Source organism: Homo sapiens, chromosome 20, assembly GCF_000001405.40.
Source record: "Homo sapiens chromosome 20, GRCh38.p14 Primary Assembly".
In the NCBI taxonomy this organism is placed as follows: domain Eukaryota; kingdom Metazoa; phylum Chordata; class Mammalia; order Primates; family Hominidae; genus Homo; species Homo sapiens.
The window spans coordinates 16,288,090-16,311,601 of record NC_000020.11 but is presented as its reverse complement, the minus strand read 5'-3'; the positions used below and the strand labels follow the sequence as shown (position 1 = coordinate 16,311,601).

Below are 23,512 nucleotides of genomic sequence, written 5' to 3'. Positions count from 1 at the left end.
AAGGGACAGAAGTGCAAATAGCTGATGACGACCTAGTGTTAGCAAGCTTTCAGGGAGACTCTCAGAGTTCCCCTTACTACTTCATTTGTTTTTGTTTTTGTTTTTGTTTTGTTTGAGACGGAGTCTCGCTCTGTTGCCCAGGCTGGAGTTCAGTGGCACAGTCTCAGCTCACTGCAACCTCCACCCCTCAGATTCAAGCGATTCTGCTGCCTCAGCCTTTGAGTAGCTGAGATTACAGGCGTGCACCACCATGCCCAGCTAATTTTTATATTTTTAGTAGAGACGGGGTTTCACCATGTTGGCCAAGCTGGTCTCGAGCTCTTGACCTCAAGCCATCCTCCCGCCTCCATCTCTCAATGTGCTAGCATCACAGGCGTGAGCCACTGCGCCCAGCCCTTTGCTACTTCTTTTAAGAGTAATAATAGTAAGACCTACTGGAAATAAAGTCAAATAAGGAAAGTCCTGAGAGAGCCCTTTCTGGATTGTGAAGTGCTGTATAAAAAGTAGGTATTCTCATTGCTGGTGACAGCCAGTTAAAATTGGCTGCCCATGGCATGCACTTAATGCCACTGAACAAGGATTAGGGAAATATCTAGAGGCTGGAGGTTCCCGTGAGAGCAGAAGGAGAGAAGTGGGAGCAAAGGAGAAATTGAAGACTGGGAGGTTGTTGTCTATGAGGAGCATTTTAGAGTTTTGAGATATTGAATATAGAACCACTCTGAGAAAAGAGGAGTTTCGGGATACAGCCATGCTTAGAGGCATTTGAGTTAGACTACAGAGTTACACATCTGAAGAAGTAATTCAACCTAGAATGGCATGATCCTGATACCCAACTGAAGAATTTGTGTTCAAGGAAAAGATTATTGCGGTGAGTCTGCTTGACCAAGTTTTCTCAAAGGTTTGATTGTATCATACAAAAAAAATTAAAAAATTACAGTAGAACTAGGGATGATTTTCTTTACCTAACTCTTCCCTGCCTTCATTAACTAGACCTGCCTTTAATGGAAACATGGAGAATGATGGTTTATAAACTTGTTTTTATATGCCAACAGAAAATAGATTGTTGTCATCCCTGGCTACTCAGGGCTCTTGTTAAACTCACATGGTGCACAGCTGTGCCATGACAGATTGGGCATTTTGTGTGCCATGCATTTGTGAGCACAGCACTGGGTACCCTTGGTTTTCCATTCCAACTTCCTGACTTAGAGCAAAGTTCAGGGCACTCTTTCATTGTTAATGCTTTCAGGTGGAACCTGTGTTTGTCCTTTTGGCATCTGCTGCTTCATCACTGAACCCTTCTAAACCATCAGCTGTTGATGAGCAGAGTTTTATGTTAATGTCTCTGCCTAGGCAAGGAACCCTTCCTTCCCTTGGCTGTGACTGTTATTTATCTGTGGCATTATCCTCTAGAGAACAGCTTCCACACCTTATGGAAATAAGCACTTACTTTTGAAATTTAATGCATTTCACCTAATGTTGACTGTTAAATCTTAGAATATTATCTTCTTTTCAAGGAGCAAGTATAAGTAACCTTCACTTTAATAGAAAGTTAATCTGAGCTTCTCGAGTTAATTCCCTGCGACTATTTTCATATGAAAATCAACTTAGTTATTTTCCCTGAACTTCCCATTTAACTCAACAAACATTCATTTAATTCCTTACTACATGCTGGAGACAGTGGTAGGTGTTACATAGAATACAAAGACAAATGAGATATTTCCTTTCCTCTAAGTGTGTATGTTTAAATTCCTATATGAAACTTTACCTAGTCATATATATAAATACATAAACACATATGGATTCAAGTAGGACACATCTGCACTAGCTGATAAATGTGATGTCTGCTTAAAAGAAGTTATCCAACTGATTATTAATATCCAGAAATGCAACTTTCTGAACCTCACCATGATATAGCTGTATAAAATAGTGTTTTAAGTAGGGATTCAGTTGTGTTTTGATCTTCCATTAAGATATTTCTAAGATTTGGACCTTGTGTTTGAGTTTATTAGCAAAAAGTGTAAAATGTTTTCATGTTAAAGACATAAACACCATTTTGGCACTCTCAAGTTATAAAAGTTAAGTCTGTTAAAATATTTATTTTTAGAAATGATGGATAGGAACAGAAATTTCTCACTGTCGTCAGATGTTTTGGAGATTAATTTTTTTACCTTGGAGCAAGGAGCATTGGTTATGTGTCTGGTGGTGGGTGGTGATAGTGTAGGGGCTGGAAATTGTAACATTTAACATACTGCACCACATAAAGGCAAGAGTAAGAATGTGATGATGGTAAGATAGTAAGTAGAGGAGTATAAATTGGGTCATAAGGGCTCATCTCATTGCCAAACTTCTATCTGCTCCACTGATACCTAGCCAACTTTAGTTTGTAGCTGGAGCCAGTTTTTTCAGAATCTGGCTAATAATTGCTTTACATCTCATGCTCAAATGCTCCCAGCATTTTTGTTCAAAAAGAACTATAGAATCTTTGAAGATTTCTAATGTGGGTAGATCTCCCTACACTGCCATCCTGGCCCAGCTCAACCAGTTCAGTGTAACTGTGCATGTTGTGGGCAGACTCTGCCCTCAGTCAGTCAGAGGCTTCTGCTAACAACACTCCTCATATGTGACATGCTTCCCAGGCTCCAGACATTCCTTCCGGTAGCCCTGACAGCTGCCTGGGAGACATGTGTTGGCAGATAGAGCAGTGGAGGTAACAGGAAAAGAATGTACCCAGTCTCTGATGTGTTAGTTTGAGCAAAAGTTGCTTCTTAATGTATTTTCAGTGAGATAGCGTAACTTAGGTCAAGCCATTAGAAACTGCCATTGTGTTGTAGACCAGAAATGGTGGAGTATCAGCAATTTCATATGCTTCACATAGTGCCTGCTTTCCCACATTTGCTTGCTGTTTATTAAGGCCAAGCATGAGTGGAAAATGCTTATGATATCCTGTCATACATTCCTCACAACCAACTTGGTGAGTTCTGCCATTATCTTCATCTTACAGGTGAAGGCCTATGTCTTGGGGAGGAGAAAGAGGGTCACAAAGGTAGTAAGTGGCAAAGCCACAGTTCATACTCAGTTGTCTTTTAGAACAAACCCCTTCTTTTAATCAGCATACTCTAAGTTTGGAATGGAGTTGGTTCTTCCTGTAAAGAAAGGCCATTGCTGTTGAAAAAAGTCACCTCCCAGTGTTATCACTACAGTGTTAACTAAGATCCACTGTCTAATTATTTATTCTTAAATGCCATTCCAGTTATTCAGCAATTATTGAGCACCTACTCTGTGCCAAGCAGTGTTCTAGAACTGAAGAAACTAGTTAATAACACAAGCCCCTTTCCTCATCTCTTAACTAACCATGGCAGTAACGATGGCTTTTATTTATAATCTTGTTTTCGTTGTTTAAGGAAAGATGTTTATTGTGATTGTTGACTTCAAATATTCACTTTGTGAGTAATAAAAGTTTCTGAATCTCTGTAGCTTACAGCTTTGTTTATTTATGAGATGTCACATTGTTCTTGTGCAGATTTAAGAGTATGTCAAATTCATTAAAGTATAAAAAAGGATATTTTATGTGAATTACTGAAAAATATAAGCTTAGAATATCTTTAAAGACATTTTTATGGCTTTAAATATTGTACGTATTATATAAAATATACATGTATAATATACACACATACATAGTATATAAATATGTATATCCAAATGGATATCAAATTGAGTTCTAATAAATGTGGTATATAGTATTTCTTAACCACGGGCCTGAAACATCTGAAGCTGAACCATATGGTTCTAGAATATTCTATTTCTCGAACTGCCAGTGGTAAAGGACCAGGTACTTAATTCCATCACTTACCAGTACTTTGGCACAATGAATGACAATTAATTACAAGAAAAAAATAAATAAAAAGGACATACAAAATAGAAGCACAATTCTTTTCTTTATTATATGTAGATTCAACAGACATAAAATTAGTTAAATTGCAGTAAAAGTGTCTGAAACATGGACCACACTTTGAGTAGCACTGCTTTGGAACATTCATGAAACCTCACCTCTACTTCTCTAAGACTCCTGTCACTTTTTACATGTATCAAAAGCTATGTTTATGTCTCACATCTTCCCTGCTGTGCTCTTCAATACTTGAAGTTGGCAGAATTGATGTCTAATTCAATTCCTAATCTCCCATTATACTTCACACATGCTTCACCTTCACTGAATTATCAGAAAATCTGCCCAAATTAGCCCCAAGTTAATGAGTTTTCTGTTTTATTTTTGTTCATTGATGAAAGGTGCATTTTGGGTTATTAATTTCAGAGAACATTATTATCTACTTGGAAATATTTCTACTAATCATTTTAATAATCTGTCATTTCAAGGAGTAACTATAATTAATGAAAAAAATGAAATCCTCTAAAACCACAAAAGTTTCCAGAATAATACAATCACTTTTGGAAGTAAGAAGCTGAGCCATCCTAGGAAATTTTCTTCAAAACTGCCTAGAAAACTGGAGCAGCCAGCAGCTGAAATCTACCTCTTCTGTCCCCATTTTCATCTCTTTAGCTTGAGCATTAAGATAGATCGAAAGAAATGTGATAGCTAAGAGTGTGGACCTTGGAGCAGATCATCCTAGTTTTGAGTACTGATTCTGCTCCTTTGGAATTATTTAATGTCACTGTTTCAGTTTCCTTCTCTGAACAATGAGGATAATAATACCATTTTCCTAGAGTTGTACTGAGAATTAAATGTGATTGCATATACAACACGGAATCTGGTACAAAGAAAAACACTCGAAAATGTTCGTTGGTCCTGTGATGATAGAGATGATAGAGATGATTGTGGTGGTGGTGATGGTGATAATGATGACAAGGAAAATGATGGAGCCTTATGGTGCATTTCAGAGCTGTTTTAAGAGCCAGGGGAAGGCAAAAGAGCACCACTCCCCAGCAATCGTGAAATGTAACAATAGCAGTATCTCAGTTTGTTACATTTACTTGCAAAGTCAATGACAGCAGAGACACTAAAATCGTGTCACTATTCTTATTCTTGATGATTCCTGGAAGATACCGGAACTCTTGCTGTAATACCAGTCTGTCTTTCAACCTGTAAGATTGTAATCTGAAAAATAAAAATGACTTTCTGAAAGATTTAATCATGGTGGAGCTGTTGTCCAAAACGATAAAGATTAGAGGCATAGGATCATTATCTTCCAGATTGACACAGTGTTATTTACAGCTACTTAGTTCTCTTGGCATGTCTACCAGGTCATTGACTGCAAGACTGCCCACTGTGAAGTCCCCGGCTGACTTGGTGTATGCCCTGGACTTCTGCCTGTCAAAGAAATAGATAAGTATCAATGAGTTTCAGCCAAAAAATCCCAGGAATACATCTGGGATGTATTTTAAAGCGATGTTAGATTTATTGATTTACCACAACAAGGAAGAACCATGTGAACCACAGGAACCATGCAAGCTTCTCAGTAAGAAGGTATTAAAAGGAAGTTATTAAGAATTTGGACTTGTATTAGGTAATTTGGGGAAGAATGCAGGAAAGCAGGGCTTTGTTCTGGATTGGATGCTGGGGGCAATTCTCTGATTGAGTGTATTAATAATTCTTATCCAGAAAGCAGGAAGAACAGAGTGAGGTTTAAAACATGATTGATAAGCCAAGATATGGAATCAACCTAAGCATCCATTAATGGGTGAATGGATAAAGAAAATATGGTATATATACACAATGGAATATTATTCAGCCTTAAAAAGGATTTGCAGCAATATGAATGGAACTGGAGGTCATTATGTTAAGTGCAATAAGCCAGGAACAGAAAGACAAATATTGCATGTTCTCACTCATATGTGGGAGCAAAAAACGTGTATCTCATGGGGATAGAGAGTAGAATGGTGGTTACCAGAGACTGAGAAGGGGATGAAGGTGGGTGAAGAGAAGTTGGTTAATGGGTACAAAAATACAATTAGAAGGAATAAGTTCTAGCATTTGATAATACAGTGTGGCTATTATAGTTAATTATCACTTATTGTATATTTCAAAATAGCTAGAAGATATGAATTGCAATGTTTCTAACACAAAGTAAAGAAAAATGAGTTGATGGATATTCCAGTTACCCTGAAATTACACATTTTGTACAGGTATCAACATCACATATAGCCCCAAAATATGTACAACTATAGCATATCAATAAAAAGTATGGTTGATAAAAAGCACTATATTAGCCCAGAAGAGGAAATATTTGATTATATTTGATCACAGTGTTCATGTTTTTGTCTTTGATCTGACACTATTATGGAGTGGTCTTTTTTTTTATTTTTAGTTTTTGGGCTTGATCCTTCATGGTCACAGAGTAACCTTGTCTGGCGTTGATATTCTTTGAAATTGTTTGTGGTCCACGGGAGAACAATACAGCTTAGCTGTGAGAATGCCAGGCCGGTTCCTAACTGCTTTTCTTTTATTTTTCTCGCAGTAAAGGGATGCCCAGAGTTTATAGGCATTGTCCTGTCTAATGGGAGATGTTAACTAAGTGAAGAACTGTTTCCAAAATAAAGTCTCGGTAGTTCAAATGACTTATCTGCCAAATACAGGTATTAGTAATGGCTGTCAGTATTGATATATCACCACCACCACCACTCCACGGCCAGCAGTCACCTTTCTGGCTTATGGTGCCTGCAACACACAGCCTAGTTTTTCCTGACTAAAAACACTTTCTCATTCTACTTTAGTTTTATTTTACTCTCAAACCTCAAATTTTCAATAATAGAATTATTTGGTTTAGACATTTTTATAGATTGAGCCTTTTTGGTTTCAAAGTAAATATCAAGAAGTAAAAATCCTAGGATTTCTGAGTTTTCTCAGTCATTTACCTATTGGAAAGATATTAGGCAGTTCTACATTTAATGTTCTTTTCATCTATTCTCTGCTGATCTTACAAAACATATAATAATAGAACCATTATCAAACATAGAGATTAAATAAATACCTCATAGGAAAAACTGTTTTCTTCCTCATTTAGGTTTTTATTTTTTTTCTTCTGGTTATCTGGTTATTTACATTAGCAGGAGCTGTTTTCTGTTATTAGTCCATTACCACTATCATCAGCAGCAAAGCATTTTTGAAAGGTGTTATGTTTAGTGGCTGTTGGAGTATTCAAGGAAACTGAACTGGAGTGTGGGGGCTTTTCCATGTTGGTGGCTCTTGGAGTCAGAGAAGCTGAAGATGCTGCAATCCTGAGGCTAATTGCCTGTCAAATCATTTTATACAACAGAAATCCTATGTATATGTGTTAGTGCTTTATGAATGCACCAATGAGCGAGAGTCTCCAATTGGAGGGTATGTGGGAAAAATCTCACTTTGGTTTTCATGAGCAGTAATTGGTGTAAGAGGAAAGCAAAATTAAGACAACTATTCTCAAGAATAATAACAACTTCTAAACTCAGATGGAAGTCTAGGGGAGAAAAGGGAGGACTCCCTGCATGTCATCAAACAGTTGTACTCTGCCATTTTTCTCCTTCTTATTCCCCAAATGACATTCAGTATTGAGATGATGGCTAACCACTCAGGGAATCAAAACACCCTATGAGCCGAAGTTGTTCTCCATCTTTGGGCTCCCAGGTTAAACTCTAAGCTGGAAATCAGGATCTTCATTTCTTTACTGATCGTGTTTTTAGTCGGCCAAAACATCTCAGGGCTTGGAATACTTCCCTCAGCTCAAATGTATTCTCCTCAGAGAGGCATGCCCTGCCCACCGAGTAGAAGCAGTCCTGGCCCTAATGCCATCCACCAGATTTCCCCTGTTATTTCTTGGTCACAGCATTTTAGCAGTTGTTGGAAAGTTTTTTGCTTGTTGATTGGTTGGTTTTGTTACAAAGTATTTTATGTTTTATGAGAGGCTGAGTTTGTGAAGACAGGATTCCAGATGCTTCATTCACCTAGAACAGTATCTGCCCGTTAATATGTCCTCAGTAAATATTTGTTCAGTGTCCAGTTAAAACCGTGTTGAACAGCAAATAGCAGATATTTGTTCTGACAAAAAAATACAAAAAAATTCAAAATGAGAGCACATTTGTAAACATGGGTTTGAGTGCTTGCTCTACCACATTGCAAAATGCCACTGGGCAAGTTATTTAACCCCTCTGAGCATCATTATTCTCAGTGCAAAACAAGGATAAGAACAACTAGTTTTCAGGATTGTTGAGGGGATCAAATGAGAATGGTATGTAAAAAGTACCTAATAGAAAATATAGTCTGTAATATGTCCTCAGTTGATATACAATAAAGTTAAAAGCATACACTATAGAACCATTAGATCTGGTTGTGAATTACTGCTCTGCTACGTAATGACTGAGTAATCTTGGACAAGTTACTTCTCTGTGAATCAGTTTTATTACGCATAAAATGGAAATAATATTACCCATCTTATATAGTTGTAATGGTTAATGAAATAATTCATATAAAATATTTGGATAGGTTCCTGATACATAGCAAACACTAGAAATGATTATTGTTTTTTTAAGCTGTTGCTACTTTGCAGCTGTGTTGTAGTGACTTACAGTATAATTTTACAAGTAAACATTTGAAATCCTAGCTTATGCAATAAGACAAGAAAAAATATATACTGATTGGAAAGTAAGACATAAAGCTGTGTTATTCACAGATGATGTGATTGTTTATGTAGATAATTTGAAAGAATTAACAAAGAAAAAAACTCCTGGAATTGATACATGATTGTAGCAAGCTTGTAGAATACAAGGTTAATATATAAACATCAATAGCTATTCTATATACCAGCAACAAACAAATGGAATTGGAAATTAATAACGTAATACCATTTACTTTAGCATCCCCCAAAACTAAATACTTGTTTATAAATCTAACAAAATATGTACAAGCTCTATATGAGTAAAACTACAAAATTCTGATGAAGGAAATCAAAGACAAACTAATGAAGAGGTATTCCATGTTCATGGGTAGGAAGACTCAACACTGTTAGGATGTCAGTTCTTTGCAAGTTGGTCTATAGATTCAACTCACTCCAAATCAAATTAGGAAGACTGACACTACCAAACTCCAATACTTAATACAAAGCTGCAGTAATCAAGACAGCGTTGTACTGGTGAAAGAATAGACAGATAATGGAACAGAACAGAGAGCCCAGAAATAGATATAATTAATTATCTTTTGCAAAGGAGCAAAGGCAATAAAATGAAGTAAAGATAGTCTTTTCAACAAATAGTCTTTTCAATAAATGGAACAATTGGATATCCACATGCAAAAAAACCAATCTAGACACAGACCTTATGCCATTCACAAAAACTAAACTGGATTATAGGCCTAGAAGTAAAACACAAAGCTATAAAATTCCTAGGAGATGACATAGGAGAAAACCTAGATGACTTTGGATGTGGAAATAACTTTTTAGATACAACACCAGTGACATGATTCATAAAATAAATAAGATAGACTTCACTAAAGTTTAAAACTTCTGCTCTGCAAAAGACACCGTCAGGAGGATGAGAAGGGAATCTACAGACTGAGAAAAAATATTTGCAAAAGGCATGTCTGATAAAGGGGTGTAATTCCAAGTATACAAAGAACTCTTAAAACTCAACAATAAGAACACAAACAACCTCATTAAAAATAGGCAAAAGAGGCCAAGCATGGTGGCTCACGCCTGTAATCCCAACACTTTGAGAGGCCGAGGCAGGCAGATCACATGAGGTCAGGAGTTCGAGACCAGCCTGGCCAACATGGTGAAACCCCATCTCTACTAAAAATACAAAAATTAGCCGGGTGTAGTGGTGCATGCCTGTAATCCCAGCTACTTGGGAGGCTGAGGCAGGAGAGTTGCTTGAACCCAGGAGGTTGCAGTGAGCCACGATAGCATCACTGCACTCCAGCCTGGGCAACAGAGTGAGACTCTGTCTCAAAAAAAAGAAAAAAATGGGCAAAAGACTTGGACAGACATCTCACCAAAGAAGATATACAGAAGGCAAATAAGCATATGAAAAGAGGCTCAATAACATATGTCATTAGGAAATTGGAAATGAAAACAAGATACCACCATACGCCTGATAGAATGGCCAAAAGCTGGAACATAAACAGCACCAAATGCTGGTGAGGTTGTACAATAAGAACTGTCATTCATTGCTGGTGAGAATGAAAAATAGTATAGCCACTTTGCACAGTTTTGGCGATTTCTTACAAAATTAAACATACTCTTAACCGTATGATCCAGCCCTCTCACTCCTTGGCATTGACCCAAAGAAGTTGAAACGTGCCCTCTCAAAGATCTGCACATAAATGTTTATAGTAGTGTTAATCATAATTGCCAAAGTGTGGATATAACTTAGATATCCTTTGGTAGGTAAATGGATAAATAAACTGTGGTACATCCAAACAATAGAATGTTATGTAGCACTAAAAAGAAACGAGCTTTCAAGCCATGAAGAGATTTTGGCAGAACATTGAATGCATATTACTAAGTAGAAGAAGACAATTTGAAAAGATTATATGGTGTATGATTCTAACTATATGGCATTTTGGAAAAGGCACAACTAATAAGACAATAAAAGGATCAGTGGTTGCCAGGGATTTGAGGGAGGGGAGAGATGAATAGGCAGAGAATAAAGGATTTTTAAGGCAGTAAAGCTACTCTGTATGATATATAATGGTAGATACATGCCATTATACATTTTTCAAACCCCATAGAAAGTACAACAAGAGTGAACCCTAATGTAAGTTATAGACTTTGGGTGATAATGATACCCCAATGTAGATTCATCAGTCCTAACAAATATGCCACTCTGGTGTGGGATTTTGATAGCGGGGGAGGCTCTGCATATTTGGGGGGTAAAGTGTTCTATGGGAAATTTGTATACTACACTCAGTTTTTCTAACAACCTCTAAAACTAAGAAGTAAAATCTATTTTTTAAAAGGTACATGTTCAAAAATAAATCATCATGTGGTAGTTATGTATTTATAATAGTCCTTTCCTCCTTTTCTCTCTTAATTGCTCTTTCACTTCTATCCTTCCTCCAACCTCTTATTTTTCCACTGTGCCCTTAGTGCTTTGCTTAAAAAAATAAAAATAAAAAAGAAAGAAAAAGAAGAAGAGGGAAGAGAAGAACAGTGGCTGGGTGGATGGACAGATGGGTAGATTTGACACTATTAATCATTTTTTCTTGAGAGTATAATTTAAATTGTTATTAAAAGGAACACATCTTCCAAACAAGTTATGTTTTTCATATGTATTTTCCACTGCTTAGCATATGATAATTTATATTTTATTAGAAGTGGCTCACTCATTACTCTAAAATTTGAGAGTCACTGTTGTATCTTTTATCAAGCACCATATTTATTCACTTGTTCTTCCCAAACTCAAGTTCAACGTCTGTCTATATGAATCAATCATTGCCTTCCCAAGTCTGAAAATTAGACCTAGTGGGATTCCCTTTCCGTGTTAAAATGTTTGAACACAGAAGCCAAGAAGGAAATATGTCGTAATCACATGTAACCATTAAGTAGGTGAGAGGCCGCATGGAACACTGATGTAATTGGACAAACAGTTGTAAAGATCCTTTTCCCCTATAATTTTCATATACTACAGCAAAGACTTTTTCACACCGGTGTTTGGTTGAGGGTCTTCATGTTCTTCTATCTTGTAGTATTATTTGCGATATTCTAAGTGACCTATTATTAGATTTAACTGTTAGTATAAATTGTAAAAGTTTTTTATTCAAGGGTCACTTAAGAAATCTAATAAAGGTTGTTCCTGCCTCCCCCTCTTAACTTTCTACAGTACTGAAACTAAATTCTCCTTAGTTCTGTCAGACAGAAAAGTTGACAGAATCTTCTATTTAGTTTGTGTGCAGAGCCAGAAGTACTTGAGGACATTAATTTAATACCAAAATGTGATTAGAATTTTTCATGGAAATGTGAATGTCTTCATTTAAGGACATAGCCAAAGTTCTCTTTGGTACAGAGTGACCTTCTGTGGCAATTCTTTGCAACCCTTTCTGGTTCAAAAGAGCAAATTGCCTTTACCTAAGAGTGTTGGATGTGTTAATATCAGATGTTAAATGAGTTCTTAAAATCAAATAATCCAACTCTGTTATACTAGCCAATTTCTACCATGCAAAGGGTAATACAACCATCTCAAACTTTCCAAGCCTCATTGGATTAAAGGGAATCTCAGATACTGTGATGTAGAAACTAATGGCCTGTGTTTTCTCTTTTTTCATTTTATGACAATATGTAGAAAACCAGAATGAATAATGTAATGAACCCCAATGTACCCTCTCCATCACCCCACTTCAACATACAGTCATCATGGGGCCAATCTTATTTATATGCACACACACATACACACACACACGCACACATGGGATTATTTTAAAGCAAATATCAGGCATCATATTATTTCATCTATAAATATTTTAAGCTATATCTCTTAAGAAAGCAAGACTTTAATTTTTAAATGTAACCACAATACTATCATCAAATACAGACACACACGCTCCAAATTCATCTCTCAACATAAACAAATATTCAGTCAGTGTTGAAGCCATACCAGTTTTCTGTCTTACAACATGTATGTTTCAATCATGACCAACATATTTACACATAGCATTGGTTGATACGTCTTTCTGGTTTCTTACAATCTGTAGGTTTTTCTCTCTTTTTTTTTTTTTATTACTCACCATTTATTTGATGAGGACAGCATGTCATTTACCTGTTGAATTCCTCATGTTCTGGGTTTCGCTGAGTGCAACTCCGTGGCATTGTTCACCGTGCTCCTCTAACCCTGCATCTTCTGAAAACCAGAGGCTTGATTAAGTTCAGGTTTGATTTTTTTTTGCAAGAACACTTTATAGGTGGGACTATACTTCTAATTGCATTGTACAGGAAGCACTTGATGTCTGATGGTCTTTCTTTTAGGGTCTTTGCTGTCTTTATTAAAGCCATTCAGTGACTGTGACAGTCACCGTTCATGCTCAGGACTGCTTCCCATGACTGCACTGAACCTGATATAGGGGATATCACCACTGATCCCACATAAATACAAACTACCATCAGAGAATACTATAAACACCTCTACACAAATAAACTAGAAAACCTAGAAGAAATAGATAAATTCCTGGACACATACATCCTTCCAAGTCTAAGCCAGGAAGAATTTGAATCCCTGAATAAACCAATAACAAGTTTTGCATGCAGTCAGTCGTATAGCTTGCGTCTTCAAGGAGCTCACAATTCTAATGGAGCAGAGACACATCATTACAGGAGACTGTCATAACTGCAGGGATAGTCATGGACTTCTTTTGTTAAGGTCAGAGGATGTGAGTCCCAAAGCTGTGGTTCTCAAACCTATCTGGCCTAATCTTTGAAATTATCTTGAGCAGCTTTTTGAAAAATACAGATTCTGCAGCCTTGTTCCAGTATATTCTGATTCACCAGGACTAGGGTGGGACTCAGGAATCTGGATCTACTGTGGAAAGGTGAGATTGGTGGTTGAGGGTAGACAAGGAAGGAAAAGCCAGATTCCACAAGCCATCTCCATGACTTTGGACCTGATCCAGAGGACCAGGAGCCAATGGAATGTTGTCAGCAGTGAAGTGGAGGAATGAGGCTTTATCACTGTGGAGAGAATGGTGGGAGCAGGGGAGCCTGGGGGCAGGAAGAGCAGTGACTAGGGTATTCCCATCTTCCAGGGAGACATGATTGTGGCCTAAACTAGGTGCACTGGCAGCTGGGATGAGAAAAACTGGTAGGTTAGAGACATACACATGAGATAGAATCAGTATGGCTTGTCGTTCAACTGAATGAGACCTGGGGACCAGTGATGAAATTGGTATGGACACCCAAAACCCAGGACATTAATCTTTTTTTTTTTTTTTTTTTCTGAGATGGAGTCTCACTCTGTCGCCCAGGCTGGAGTGCAACAGTGCGATCTAGGCTCACTGCAAGCTCCGCCTCCTGGGTTCACGCCATTCTCCTGCCTCAGCCTCCCAAGAAGCTGGGACTACAGGTGCCCGCCACCACGCCCAGCTAATTTTTTGCATTTTTAGTAGAGATAGGGTTTCACCGTGTTAGCCAGCCAGAATGGTCTTGATCTCCTGACCTCGTGATGTGCCCGCCTCAGCCTCCCCAAGTGCTGGGATTACAGGCGTGAGCCACCATGCCTGGCCTGGACATTAATCTTAACTTAGACAGTGAAATATAGTGTTAAATATATTTGTGAGTTTTACACTTCCACACATAACCCATGGTATTGAAGTAGTGCTTTTTTTACCACTTCACAAATTGTGGTTTGGAAGCTCTGTTAGAGTTCTCCTGAGAAACAGAACCAGCAAGCAATAAGCAATGATGGGGAGAGACCTGATTCATGTGATCATGTGATTTTGGAGGCTGAGAAGTCTCAAGATCTGCATTTGGCAAGCTGGAGACCCAGGAAAGCCGATGGTGTAGTTTCAATCTGAGTGGGAAGGCCCCAGAACCAGGAGAGATGACCGTGTAAGTTCCAGGCTGAAAGCCAGCAGGCTCAAGTCCCAAGAAGAACTGATGGTTCAGTTTGAGTCCAAAGGCAGGAAAAGACTGAAGTTCCAGCTTCAGGCGGTAAGACAGGATTTAATTCCCTCTTACTCTCTGGAGTTTGTTCTGTTCAGGCCTTCACCTGATTGGATGAGGCCCCCACTCACAGTAGGAAAGCAATCTGCTTTACTCGTTCTACTGATTCAAACATTAATCTCATCCAAAAACACCCTCATAAACACATCCCAAATAATGTTGACCAAATATCTAGTGACACCATGGCCCAGCCAATCTAACACATAAAATTGACCATCACGGAAGCCATTTTTATTCACCCCAGATACGGCTGTGTTGGTAATTTTTCCATTTGTTGAGCTTTAGATATTCTAATATCAATCCCAATTACAATCCCACCTCATGTGCAGCCCCATTAGACTGGTAACATCTGTCATCTCCCCAGCTCCCACGCTCATTTACAAGGTGTTTGAGGCTTGGCAAATACATAACAGGGATTCTCCAACTCTTTCCTGTCTATGGAAATAGCATCAGAAGAAAGTAGCACAGAACGACTCAAGATGGCAGACTTAGAGCTGTGTATGCTGTTTATTTGGAGTTCAGTGTAGAACGTTTTTCATTTTCCTGGGTTAATTTTAAAAGCAAAATGAAGCCTGAACATCACAGTGCTAAACAGCTGGAGGGTTGTTTCTCCTCTCCACCTAGATAAAGCAAGGCATCACTATTTGTTTTCTTTTATTAAATGTCTCATCGCCTCTGAAGCAGAAGTAGATATCACAAGTGGCGTAGACAAAAGGAGCATCCTGCATAAACTCACTCCTCTGTTGCCTGTACCTGAAGGTGGCTTGCCTGCCTTGTTCGAAGACAGATGTTAGCTTCCAGTTGCTATTGACCTCACTGTTTACTTTGCTTAATTAAATACCCTTTTAATATTTTCTCATTTTGCTGCCCTTTACAGTTCACATAGATGCTGTGGCACAACAGGGGTGAGAAGGAAAGGTCTTTGAAACTGAAGCTCTTAATTAGCTCTTGGGCCCCTGGGAGAAGCGTCAGATAGAAATACAGCTAAAAATGGGGGAAAAGAATAGCCGTACTCAAGATGCTCTGACTGGTGGTAGAAAAAACATTGACTACCTTCCAGTGATGCCTGAGTTATGAAAATAGTTTTGAAATTCGTGACCATTTTGAATCATATGTACCATAGTATCATTACTTTTCACCGATGGTGTATTGATTATTCAGCTGTAGCTGCTCATTTCTGCCAGAACCTGCTTTTTCTCCTCTTCTTCAGTACACTCCTCGTCCTGTGTGTAAATAAATGGATGGCCCATGAGTAAGGTTCATAGTCCCTTCCTGCCACCATCAGGTGACCGGATTGTCATTTAGAGCCGCTTAATTGAATTATTTTAAATACAGCCAATATCTGCCTAATGTTTCTTGGGAGAAGAGATGTATAATGATATATTATTAATTATGAAATAATATAAAACATAGTATAATAAGATATAATTATATAAATATATAGATTTAAGTGTCAGTAGATTATATATAATTATAAGTATAACTTTAAATAGTCATATAGTTATACTAATATGGATTATAGCTATATAGATTATAGATGTGTATAGATATCAATTATAGATATAATTCAATATTGTATATAGTATATAGATTTATCTAGATAGAATTGTTATGCAGTAGAATACAATATTAATTCACTGTTGTAAAAACATAAAAGAAGTTCCTGGAAGGATTGCAGCATAGCCCAGAGCTCCACAGACCTCAGGCCAGCAGCCACCGTGGCCTGCTCCCCATGGAGACACCATGGTCTGGCCCGGGGGATATGCACTATGACCCTGGGCAAGCTGGGAGCTTATGGGCTGCTCTTTATCTTCTCTAGATGCTTTGGAATCTTTTTGATAATGGATTTGCTTAGGTTTGGTGTATTAGTCATGTTTACCTGGGTTCTTACCTCCCAAGGCTGCAGTTAAACTTGCATTTTAATTTCCTAAAACTGCTTGTTTATCCTTTGGAAAATAATGAGCAAGCTTGCTGTGAATCAAAAAGTCCTCATCAGAAAATTGGACGCTAAGGACAAAGTGGTAACAACCAGGTGGAAACAAAGCAGCTGAGGCCAGGAGCAAAAGATGGCTCCCTGCGTTGTCCTAGCTCATGAGGGTGGCTAACAGAGGCACCCTCATGATAAATGGGCGTGAAGGGTGCCCATTTATGGCTAAAGCTGGAGTCCCCCTTACTCACCAACAGCCCCAGTTCCATCCCACAGGCTGACATACGCTGTGCTGTTGCCCTACCTGTGATATTAGCCATAGCCATGGTGGGCTTTTCCGGTGTGGGTGTCTGCACCCCACCAGGTCTGTTAGCTTTTCTCCCTCACCCTTTTCTGAAGCCAAGGCAGCCCCCATGGACCCTGACCCAGGCAGTCCCAAAGGCTGGGAGCAGGCAAGGCCCTGGAGATCATTCTCAAACAAGAGAGGATGAAAGTCTGTGGATAAGTGGGCCTGCCTCCCGTCCTGCATGGGAACGATTCAGAAGCACGTGCTCTGTGTCTCTCAAAGGGTCCCCAGCAGGACTGAGTCACCCACAGTGGGGACCTGCTCAGCAACACCCCTTTGTTGGCTTTTCTCTTTTTCTCTCACTCACTTTCCTACCCCCATGCTTCTGCTTCCAGCATCACCATTACTCCTCAATACTGCCTCAGGCTCTGCTTTCAGAGGATCTCAAACCAAGCTGAGTGCTAGGAGGTAACTGCTCTCATGGGGTGGTTGGGCATGTATCTTCTCTGACTGTTTTTCTGTGCATGTGTTTGTGTGTGTATGTGTTTACACTTATTGCTGTTTTGTGTGTATATGCAATTTTAGTGACATTTTTAAAATCAATGCTCATACAGTTTGATTAGGCTTTTCTGGAGAGCAGTATCCTGTCCCCTATTCATGCCCTCCATTTCCCCTTCCCCAGCAGCAACTCTTTCATTTTGGTATTTTCTTCCATTTTTGTATTTGCTTCCAAACTAAAATTGCATTCCTATATTCCTTCTTCTTGACTTTTTAAAAAATTTTAGGTGCTGTTAACGTCCCACTATGGATGATGGCTCCCCAGCATGCACCCCCCGCAGCCCCTCTCCTCATATATTCAGGGACACTCGCCCTCCCTGCCTGGTCCTCCCATGCACTGAGTCAGGACTGTGGTGAGCTCAGCTTGTTTGCTTAGTTTACAGTACTCATCTCTAATTCAACTTCACATTATTGCTCAATTGTATGATTCTCTTCTCAAACATTCAGAGCACCAGGTGTTTCATAAATACAGCCTCCTTGCAGAAACCTCCCCTGGAACCCTCTTGCCTGTTCTAGTCAGACTGAGCCACACCGCAGCTCCCTTCCACCCCACAATTGTCCTTCTCCATCATCCTTGGCTCTCCCTTGAATTGTTTCGCCTGCTTCCTGTACCCATGTCTTCCCTTTCTTGATTTACTCCCTCACTTTAATGAAACACCTCTCTAGTAGCTTCCTGAGAAAGGATGTATGAGAGGTAAGTTTCTAGAAACATGTCTGAAAATGCCTTCATGTACCCACTCACTGGCTAGATATAAAATGTTAGTTGGAAACCATTTTCATTCAGAATTTCAAAGGGGTTTCTCCATTGTCTTCTAACTCCAGTGCTGCTGCTAAGCAGTTCAAAACCATTTTGATTCTTGATCTTTTGTATGTGACCTATCCCTTCCTCCTCCCCTACCAAAAACCCATAGAGCAGCCTTTATAGGGCCTTCTCTCTGTTCTCAATGTTCTGAACCTATAGAACTCTACTCTGGTAAACAGTTCGTCGATTCTTCTGACCCATGGGTTCTATCGATTTCTGCCATATCCTTCATTTCTGGGAAATTGCCTTAATGATTTCCTTTCTTAAGGTTTTGTTGTTGTTGTTTTTCCTGTTGTTTCTGGAATTCCATTTGTTCAGTGTTGAACCTCGTGGTCTGGTCCTTTCATTTTTCTGTCTCCTGTATTTTCTATCTCTGTCGTTGTCTTGCTTTGTCTTTCTGTCTCGTCTATCTCTGTCAATCAAACAACTGATTCCCTTCTGCATATTATTTGAGAAGCACTGCACTATGTGGTCCACCTGATTCTTTCTTTGCTTGTTTTAACATTGCATTTGCTACTTTTGCATCTTTTAGTACTGTTATCAACCTGAAGGCCTAACTTCTTGCTTCCTGAAATAGTCAATTTTATTTATTTCCATTGATGTCAGTTTAGTTGCTCTCCATTCAGTCCCTTTGTTGCAACAGCCTAAAAGACGTGTTTAAAATTCTTCTTGCACATCCATGTATTTTAAGAACCACTGTCTGTCTCATGCCCACTAAGTTCTCTGCTCATTGTTTGTATCAACATTCAGGAATCATCCTTCCTCTTTCATGAAGCCTTGCCCACTTTGCAGTAGGCTTTCTTGCAAATGCATCAATTCCCCTAACTCCCTCTTTTTCAGACTTGTTTTCCAAATACCTTGTGCTTTTTTTCAGATAAAAGGTGCTCACTGTGGTCTTTGCGAGTGAACCTCATGCTGTCTTTTGTTGCCCGTGTAAACTGCATCTTTATTTTAGAATTCAGCTAGCTATTTTTTCCCCTGACAACACTTTTTTCTTCTATATGTGTCAGTTATGTTTCATAATGTTAATGAATCACAGCATATGGTGCAATCCTTTGAGACAGTATTTAGAGGGGGAATGGATGAGAACATCAGTTTGTTCCAATTCCACACAACTTTTTACCTTTATCGTTTGCCCATGTAAAGCTACCATCCATTTTTAGATATACTTATTTTTGTTACCAGCAATCCCCTGCAATGCATTTACATTTACATATATACTTTTCATTCCAGGCAACCAAAAACATTTTTTTAAAAAAAGGTAAGACTTTGCCTAATCTGCTTTCTAATTGAGATCACCTGCTTCATATTATTTATAAGTAAAATTAAACTCATGTTGGAATCAAGAAATCATTTGGTAATCAAAGTTGAAAAAGGTAGAAAATGAAGCCATTGCCTTTTTCTCAGTGGATTTTTCTTTAGCTAGCTGGAAACACAGCCCCAGTAGACCCCGGGGCTTGTATTTCAGAGCTCTCTGAATAAATGCTGTGAGCAACAGGAAGTCTGCTTCTGCCCTTAATATCTCCAGGGTGTGCGGTATTTATGCTACTTAGTATATGTTCACCTTTCCTCATCCTTATAGTGCTTATCTTCCAGTTCACAAAATTGTATTTATATGCAGTTTACTTATTTGGAGGAATCTGGGCATATTTAAGTAATAGCTTAGTCAATACATACTGACATTTCTTACTTTGAAAGGCAATGTCCTTGTGGCAGAAACTGGGTGTCAACTTATTCTCAATTAGCCCAGTATTTTTTAGACTATATGGCCACATAGCTTCCTTCAGGATCCCCTAGATGACGAGATTTCCCTTTGATCAGGGGCATCTTTCTATCCAGGTTTTGCCAGTACTTTGTTTTAACTCCTGTGTCCTATTGCAGCATTGCAGCTAAAAAAAGTCACTCGTCCTAAAAGTTTTGATGACTGAAAGACTGATGCTTACATAGTTTTCAGGCTCATTTGGTGTTTAACACAGCCAGACACATGTGTCCAAGGAAGCGCATGTTTAATCAGCTGCCTAATCAACACCATTCTTCATTTTTTGTCTACAGCAACTTCTCAGACCTTAAGTAACGAGATGACCAGGATACTTTTAAGAGTTTCTAGAGTGTGGCTTTGAAGCACAAATTAAGATTTGATAGACTTTCTTCTCTAGAGTAATTTAACAAACTTCCCTTACACAGAAGAAAGAAGATATTGTAAACCTATGAAATTTTTCGAATTAAGGTCCTAGGGAAAGAAAACCCATGCTTCTCATTGTTTATCGAGGCCTATCAGCATTGCCTATAGCTATTCATTGCATCATTTGTTCAACGACTATTTTACAAGCAAAGTACTGTGCTGGATGTACATGTATTCAATGTATATACTTTTGGTTTCTTTTTCTTTTTCTTTTTTAGCTCCTAGCCCAATTTCTAAAACTTAGTTTCTTAATTTGGTAGGTAATATCTGTTTGAAAAAGGAACTTTTTAATTTGCATTTCCCTGTATGAAATAGACACCTACCCCATTCTTTTTTGGAGTTAGAGATGTTGGCATTTGAGAAGTTTTGATCTGGCTTTTCTCCCTACCTCCCTCTTCCCTGACATATTCAGGCCTCAGTCATTGTCTCCAGTGAAGGGGATCATTGGTGCAAATAATTCAAATCCCTAGCTAATCTTCTTCATGGGGTGGGGTCAGGGCCCACCACTCGGGGCCACAGTCCTCATCACACCTAGGGCTTGACCCTGACTCCCCCAAGGGACACAGGGCAGTTTCTGGACACTCAGGAAGAGCTCCCAAGGCAGGAGGGTAATCTCCAAGGCAAACAGTCTCACAGGAGCATCAGGCACCCCTCGTCCAGAGAACAAAACACAGGCAGCAGGTTATCTCTCCTGGTATCTCAAAAGCTTACCCTCTTGCCCTGAATTCAGAGACTCAGTATTATTCAGACAGCCCGCCAAGGCCAGCTGAATTTTAACCGAAGGAGATTTGCCCTCAGTACACAAACTACCTTAGGTGACATATTAGAGGCATAGCTCATTCTGTTCAGCCACAGCTGCAGAGGCACACGATAGAGTCATTGAGTGTTCTCGATGCATCCAGTTGTGGAGTTCCCCTGAAGGGGAGACTTTGTGATGCCATCAAATAATGTACAACTACTCCTCGATGGCCGAGTCTTTTAGGTCCTGATTCTTTGAATTTGAATTCAAGTACATTATAGCCAAGAGGTACCACACAGCAAGATTCTCATTTGAAAGCCTTTGTCAGACAAATTGGTCGTTTGGAGCAGTCATTATATCTCCAAATGCCAGGAATCTCTGAAGGTTTATACAGTGAAGGAAGGAACCATGAGCTTAAAAACAAAGAAAATAATACATCTTTTTTGTTTTCCAAATGGCACTTTTGAGAATCAGAGCATCTAAAATGTATCTTAAAACAAGATATGGGGGAGAATCAATTAGAATCAATTTACCTGACATGGGTTAGATTTTCAGTTTATTTTTAAATGTGATTTTCCATTTTGAAACATGTTTACTCTTCTTTGTTTTAACACAACTCTTTTCTTTGTTTGTTTTTGAGACGGAGTCTGGCTCTGTCACCCAGGTTGGAGTGCAGTGGCTCAATCTCGGCTCACTGCAGCCTCCGCCTCCTGGGTTCACTCCATTCTCCTGCCTCAGCCTCCCGAGTAGCTGGGAGTACAGGCGCCCGCCACTGCGCCCGGCTAATTTTTTGTATTTTTAGTAGAGACGGGGTTTCACCGTGGTCTTGATCTCCTGACCTCGTGATCCGTCCGCCTCGGCCTACCAAAGTGCTGGGATTACAGGCGTGAGCCACCGCGCCCGGCCTTAACACAACTCTTTAAATAAAGGGTCTGCCAGTATCTATCTAATATGAGGTGATTTTAAAGGGTCTGCCAGTATCTGATATGAGGTGATTTGGAAAAAAGCCATTTCAAATTCTTGCTTTTACTTTCCTTTGAAGGAGAAAACATTAAACACTTCCACATTTTAAGCCCATGTGTTTCCAAACATTTAAAAGAGGGGAAAATTAACATATTTGCATATCAATTCCCTGAGGACAAAGTTATATAGACAGTATCAACTCTGGGTGGTCCCCAACTTGATGATGGTTCTACTTAAGATTTTTCAACTTTACGATGGTGTAAAAGCGATACACATTCAGTAGAAACCGTACTTTGACTGCTCATACAGCCATTCTGTTTTTCACTTTTAGCACAGTATTCAATAAACTACATAAGATGTTCAACACTAACTAGACTTTTTGTTAGATGATTTTGCCCACCTGTAGGCTAATGTAAGTGTTCTGAGCACATTTAAGGTGGACTAGGCTAAGCCATGATGTTTGGTAGGTTAGGTGTATTAAATGCACTTTCGACTTAGAGTATTTTCAACTGGCCGTGGGTTTATTGGGATCCCATCATAAGTGGAGGAGCATCTCTGCAGTATGTACTTACTAAGAACAGATACTCCTCCACTTATGATGGGATCCCAATAAACCCATCGCCAGTACGTACTGTGTTTACTAAGGTACATACCATACAGATGCTCTTCCACTTATGATGGGATCCCAATAACCTTATCACCAGTACATACTGTGTTTACTAAGGTACATACTATACAGATGCTGTTCCACTTATGATGGGATCCCAATAACCTTATCATCAGTACATACTGTGTTTACTAAGGTACATACCATACAGATGCTCTTCCACTTATGATGGGATCCCAATAACCTTATCATCAGTACATACTGTGTTTACTAAGGTACATACCATACAGATGCTCTTCCACTTATGATGGGATCCCAGTAACCTTATCACCAGTACATACTGTGTTTACTAAGGTACATACCATACAGATGCTCTTCCACTTATGATGGGATCCCAGTAACCTTATCACCAGTACATACTGTGTTTACTAAGGTACATACCATACAGATGCTCTTCCACTTATGATGGGATCCCAATAACCTTATCACCAGTACATACTGTACTTACTGAGGTACATACCATACATCTGTACTTACTAAGGTTCTCTAAATTGGACCCTGTCCTAAGCATTTTGTAGACAATAGCTCCTTTAATCTTCTAATCCTAAAAAGAAAATACTATAATCAGACAAGGAGGAAACTGAGGTACAGAGGAGTTAAGGGGCTTACTTCAAACCACAGTGCTTTGATGTCTTTGTGCCCAGCATGGTAGCTGCATAAGACTGAGTGCCTAGGATCCCTGCTCATGGTGCTGCATTAGAGCTCAAACAGCCATAGTGTGCCTCCAGGGCTCTCCTAGGCTTCTTCCAGTGCTGAAG

At 39.0% G+C, this 23,512-nt stretch overlaps 1 protein-coding gene across 12 annotated transcripts in view; it reads left to right on the top strand.

Moving 5' to 3' along the window:
- Positions 1-23,512, top strand: part of KIF16B (kinesin family member 16B) — a 301,345-nt gene that overhangs the window by 261,847 nt on the left and 15,986 nt on the right. The gene's annotated exons all lie outside the window — the stretch shown is intronic.